The sequence below is a fragment of the Homo sapiens genome, chromosome 8 (assembly GCF_000001405.40).
Source record: "Homo sapiens chromosome 8, GRCh38.p14 Primary Assembly".
NCBI lineage: Eukaryota > Metazoa > Chordata > Mammalia > Primates > Hominidae > Homo > Homo sapiens.
The window spans coordinates 39293086-39299886 of record NC_000008.11 but is presented as its reverse complement, the minus strand read 5'-3'; positions in this window follow the sequence as shown (position 1 = coordinate 39299886).

Genomic DNA, 6801 nt, shown 5'->3' with positions numbered 1-6801 from the left:
GGAGATCTAAGTACATAAAATCAGAGATTAAAAAAAGATATTATAACTGATAGCTCAGAAATTCTAAGGATCCTTAGTGCCCACTATGAGTAACTATATGCCAATAAATCAGAAAATCTAGAAAAAAATGGACAAATTCCTAGAAAGATGCAACCTACTATGACTGAACCATGAAGAAATTCAGACTCTGAACAGATCAAACAAATAATGGGATTAATGCCATAGTAAAATGTCTCCCAGTAAAGAAAAGCCCAGAACCCAATAGCTTTACTGCTGAACTATTCCAAACATGTAAAAAAAATTAATAACAATCCTACTCAAACTATTCAGAAAAATGGAAGACAAGGGAAGACTTCCAAATGCATTCTACAAGGCCAGTATTATCCTGATACCAAAACCAGACAGAGACACACTAAAAAAAAAAATACAAGAAAATACCTCTGATGAATATTGATAGGAAAATCCTTGACAAAATACTAGCAAATCAAATTCAACAATACATTTAAAATATCATTTATTATAACTAAGATTTATCCCTGGGATGCAAGGATGGTTCAATATATGCAAGTCAATCAATGTGATACATCATATCAACAGAATGATGGATAAAAATCATATATTTCAATTGATACTGAAAAAGCTTTTGATAAAATTCAACATCACCTCATGATAGAAAACATTAAAACATTGAGTATAGAAGGAACATAACTCAACATAATAAAAGCCGTAGACAACAGACCCGCAGCTAGTGGGAAACTGAATGGAAAAAACTGAAAGCCTTTTCTCTAAGATCTGGAACATGACAAAGATGCCGCTGTCACCACTGTTATTCAACATAGTACTGAGAGTCCTAGCTAGAGCAATCAGACATGAAAAAGAAATAGTGGGCATCCAAATTGGAAAGGAGGAAATCAAATTATCCTTGCTTGCATATGATGTGATCTTACATTTGGAAAAACCTAGACTCCACAAAAAAACTATTAGAACTGATAAATTAAGTAAACTTGCAGTATACAAAATCAACATACAAAAATCAGTAGCATTTTTATATGCCAACACTGAACAATGTGAAAAAGAAATAGAAAGAGTAATACCATTTACAATAGCCACAAATAAAATTAAATGCCTAGGAATTAACCAAAGAAGTGAAAGATCTCTATAATTAAAACTATAAACACTGATGAAGGAAAATGAAGAGTACACCAAAAAATTGAAAGATATTCCATGTTCATGAACTGGGAAAATAAATATTGTTAACATGCCCATATTACCCAAAGCAATCTACAGATTCAGTACAATTCCTATCAATACACCTATGACATTCTTCACAGAAATTGAAAAAAATCCTAAAATGTATATGGAACCACAAAGGACCCAGAATAGCCAAAGCTATTCTAAGTAAAAAGAACAAAACTGGAAGAATCACATTACCTGACTTCAGTCTATGCTACAGAGCTATAGTAACCAAAACAGCATGATACTGGAGTAAAAACAGACACATAAACACATAGACCAATGGAACAGAATAGAGAACCCAGAATCAAATCCACACACCTACAATGAACTCATTTTTGACAAAGGTGCCAAGAACATACACTGAGGAAAAGACAGTCTCCAATAAATGGTGCTGAAAAACTGGATATTCATAGGCAAGATAATGAAACTAGACCCCTATCCCTCACTATATACAAAAACCAAATCAAAATGGATTAAAGACTTAAATCTAAGACCTCAAACTATGAAACTGCTACAAGAAAACATTGGGGAAACTCTTCAGGACATTGGTCTGGGCAAAGATTTTTGAGTAATACCCCACAAGTACAGGCAACCAAAGCAAACATGGACAAATGGGATCACATTAAGTTAAAAAGCTTCTGCACAGCAAAGAATATAATCAGTATAGAGTGAAGAGACAACCTCAAGGATGGGAGAAAATATTTGTAAACTACCCCTCTGACAAAGGATATCCAGAATATATAAGAAGCTCAGCACATGACAAACATCACATGTTCTCACTTATTTGTGAAATCTAAAAATCAGAACAATTGAGCTCATGGAGACAGAGAGTAGAAGGATGGTTAACAGAGGCTAGGAAGGGAATAGAGTGTTGTGGGGAAGTTGAGGATCATTAATTCGTAAAAAACAAAAATAGAACAAATGAATAAGACCTACTATATGATAGCACAACAAAGTGACTACAGTAAATAATAATTTAATTTTACATTTTTAAATGACTAAAAGAGTATAATTGGACTGTCTGTAACACAAAGGATAAATACTGGAGGAGATGGATACCCCATTTTACATTATGTCATTCCATGCCTGTATCAAAACATTTTATGTATCCCATAAATATACAAACCTACTATGTATCCACAAAAGTAAAATATTTTTTTAAACTTGATAAAAATTAAAATGGAAACACTACATACCAAATCTATTGGGGTGGAGGAAAATCTGTTATAAAAGGAACATTTATCCAATCAATGCCTACCTCAAGAAGAAGAAAAATATGAAATAAAATTTAACAATATTTCTCAAGGACATAGAAAAATCAAGAATAAACTAAGCTGGAAGTTAGGAAAAGAAAAGAAATAATAAAGATCATAGCAGAAATAACTGAAATAGAGAATAGGAAAATAATACAAACCATAAACAAAACTGAGTTAATATTTCAAAAGGATAAACAAAATTAATAAACCTTTACCTACACTAGGAGAAAAAGAAATTTCAAATGAATAAAATCATAAATAAAAGAGGGTACATTACAACTGATACCACAGAAATAAAAAAGATCATAAGGGACTACTATGAACAATTATATGTCAATAAATTGGATTACCTAGAAAAAATGGATAAATTCCTAGACACATACACCTACTCAAGACTAAATCAAAAAGAAATAGAAAATCTGAGCAGACTAATAATGAGTACAGAGATTGACAGTAGCAAAAAGTTTCTCATTAAAGGATAGCCCTGGACCTGATGGCTTCACTACTGAATTCTACCAAACTTTTAAAGAAAAATTCATACCACTGCTTCTCAAACTCTTCCAAAAAAAAATCAAAGAGAAGAGAATACTTCCAAACTCTTTCAATGAGGCCAGCATTACTCTGATACAAAAGCCAGACAAGTATATTATAACAAATAAAAATTATAGGCCAATATTTTTATGAACATGGATGCAAAATTTTTCAACAACAGGGGATGTCAAAAATCATAGAAAATGGAATTAAATATTAATAATAAAAATAAAAAATATAAACTTTCTCAATAAAAATTCCTTCAAGCTCAAGACATTTTTGTTAAGTGATGATACAAATCATTTAGTCTATCCCTAAAGAACTGAGAATCGTGGGAATTTAACCATAGTTATACACTCTTTTTAGCATTACTAACTGAACAAAAATTTACATTCTAAAGAGTTTTTAAAATTAGGGGAAAAAGAAGTCAGAAAAATCCAAGCCAAAACTGTAAGGTGGATGTCCAGTTATTTCTCTTCTCACAGAATTGCCCTTATTTGATTAGAAGAATGAACAGAAGCATTGTCACGGTGAAGAAGGACCCTCTAGTGAAGCTTTCCTGGGCATTTTTCTGCTTAGTCTTAGGCTAAGTTTCTCAAAACACACTTATAATAAGTAAATGTTATTCTCTGGCCTTCCAGAAAGTCAGCAAACAAAATGCCTTGAAGATCCCCCCAAAACATTGTTGTTGAAATATTTGCTGCTGATGGGAACATTTCTACCTCTCAGTAGCCATTGCTTTTATTGTTCTTTATCTTCAGTATTGCACTGGTAATCCATGTTTTATCTTCTATTAAAATACTTGGAATAAATATTTCAGGATCTTGATCATACTTGTTTAAAATTCCCATTGAAAGCTCTGCTCTTGTCTGCAGCTGATCTAGGAATAATTGTTTTGGCACCCACTGAGTGGAAAGTTTGCTGAACTTTAATTTTTCAGTCAGAATTGTGCAAACTGAACTAATTGAGATGGCTATTATTTCTGCTGTTAAGTATCAGACATCTTCAATAAGGACACAAACAAGATGCATTTTTTTTCTTCCAAATTGATGTGGATAGTCTGCTGCTACATGCTTTATCTTCAACATCATCTTGTTCTTTCTTAAAATGAGTTATCCATTTGTAAATTGATCATTTCTTTTGGGAATTGCACCCCAAAATTTTTCATAAGTATCAATTATTCATCATTCTTCCATCCAAGTTTTACTATAAGCTGATGTTTGTTCTTGCTTCAATTATAGCAGATTTCATGCTACTTTGATAGGTGCTTTAAAAAAAAACTAATGTCTTCTCCTTAGTGCCTCAAATTTGCTCCTGTTGAAATATGTTATAATAAGTTAGTATGAGTTTAATTTGATGCATAAAAATTTGAAATCCATGCAGAGTTATTTCATAATACACATTTTCCATAAACTTCTTGAAGTTCCCTCATACTAGCAAACTGAATTCAAAAACATCCTAAAAGAATCACCCACTATAATCAAATGAGATTTATCTGAGTGGTGCAAGATGGTTTAACGTATGTAAATCAATAAATGTGATACATCACATCAACAAAATGACAGACAAAAAACCATATGATCATATCATCAGATACAGAGAAAGCATGTGAAAGAATTCAACGTCCTTTTATTATTAAAAAACTTTCACCAAATTAGGTATACAAGGAATACACCTCAACATAATAAAGACCATGTATGAGAAGATCACAGCTAACATTATACTCAATGGTGAAAACTGAAAGCCTTTATCTAAGTTCTGGAAAAAGTGGACAAGAATGGCCATTTGCACCACTTCTATATAATATAGCATTAGAAGTCCACACGAGGGCAATTAGGCAAGAGAAAGAAATAAAAGGTAAGGCATCCAAATAGGAAAAATGAAGTAAAATTGTCAGTTTGCTGATGGCTCGATCTTTTACATAGAAAACCCTAAATAATCCACCAGAAAACTGTTAGAACTAATAAATGAATACAGTCAAGTTGCAGGATACAAAATCAACATTCAAAAATGAGTAGCATTTCTATATACTAGCAACTTTTCAGAAATAAAATCAAGAGAACAATTCCATTTACTATAGCTACAAAAAATAAAATATCTAGAAATAAATTTAACCAAGGAGATGAAAAACCTATACACTAAAAACTATAAAATGTTGATGTAAGAAATTGAAGAAGACACAAATAAATGAAAAGAATCCTGTATTTATGAACTGGAAGAATTAATATTGTTAGAATGTCCATACTACCAAAATCAATCTACAAATTCAATGCAATCTCCATACAAATTCCAATGTCATTTTTCACAGTAAAAAAAGAACAATCTGAAAATTCATATGGAATTAGAAAGTAAAAAGCCAAATAGCCAAGGTAGTAATGAGCAAAATGAACAAAGATGGAAGCATCACACTATTTGACTTCAAATGATATTACAAAGTTACAGTAATTAAAATAGCATGGTACTGGCAAAAAAAAAATAGACACATCAATTTTTATAGAGAGAATAGCCCAGAACTGAACCCATATATGTATGGTCCATTGCTTTTCAACAAAATTGTCAACAATACACAATGGGGAAAAATAATCTCTTCAGTAAATAGTACTGGGAAAACTGGATATCCACATGCAGAACAATATTAGACACTTATACCATATGCAAAAATCAACTCAAAATATATTAAAGAGTTAAACATAAGATGAGAAACCATAAAACTAATAAAAGAAAGCATAGGGAAAAATTCCAAAACATTGGTCTGGGCAATGATTTTTGGATTTCACCCCAAATGTACAGGCAACGACAGCAAAAATAAATTGAGGTTACATCAAACTAAAAAGCTTCTTCACAGCAAGGAGAACATATAACCGTGTGAAGAGATAATCTAAGGATTTAGAGAAAATATTTGTAAGCCATGCATCTGAAAAATAGTTAATATTCAAAATACAGAAGGAATTCAAAGAACTTACAAGGAAACAAACAAAAACTGGTTTTAAAATGGGCAAGGGATCTGAAGAGACATTCTCAAAAGAAGACATACAAATAGCCAAAAAATATAGTTTAAAATGCTCAACATCGTTAATAATTAGGAAAATGCAAATTAAAACCACAATGAGATATCATCTCACTCCTGTCAGAATGGTTATTATCAAAAAGACAAAAATTAACAAGTATTGGCAAAGATGTGGAGAAAAGGGAACACTTGTCTGGTGAAAATGTAAACGTGTACAGACATGAAAAACTGCATGGAGCTACTTCAATATAGTAAAAATCAAATTACTGTATGATCTAGCAATCCCACTTCTGGGTATTTATCCAAAAGATTTGAAATCAGCTTGTTGACCAGATGTCTGCACTCCCGTGTTCACTGCAGCACTGTTCACAACAGCCAAGTTACAGAGTCAACCTAAGTGTTTATTAACAAATAAATGAATAAAATGTGCTATAATGAATGCTATTCAGCCCTAAAAAAGAAGAATTCTGTTATTTGTGACAATATGGGTGGAATTGGAGGGCATTATGCTAAGGGAAATAATGAAGGCACAGAGAGACAAATATTGCCTGTTCTCACTTATATGTGGAATCTAAAACAATCAAACTCATAGAAGCAGGGAGTAGAATGGTGGTTACAGAGGCTGGGGGTGGGGAAATAGGGATATGATGTCATAGGATATAAAATCTCAGTTACACAAAAGGAATAAGGATTTTTTTGAGACCTATTGCACAGTATGGGAAATGTAACAATAATGTGTTGTACATTTAAAAAATTGCTAAGAGAATAAAG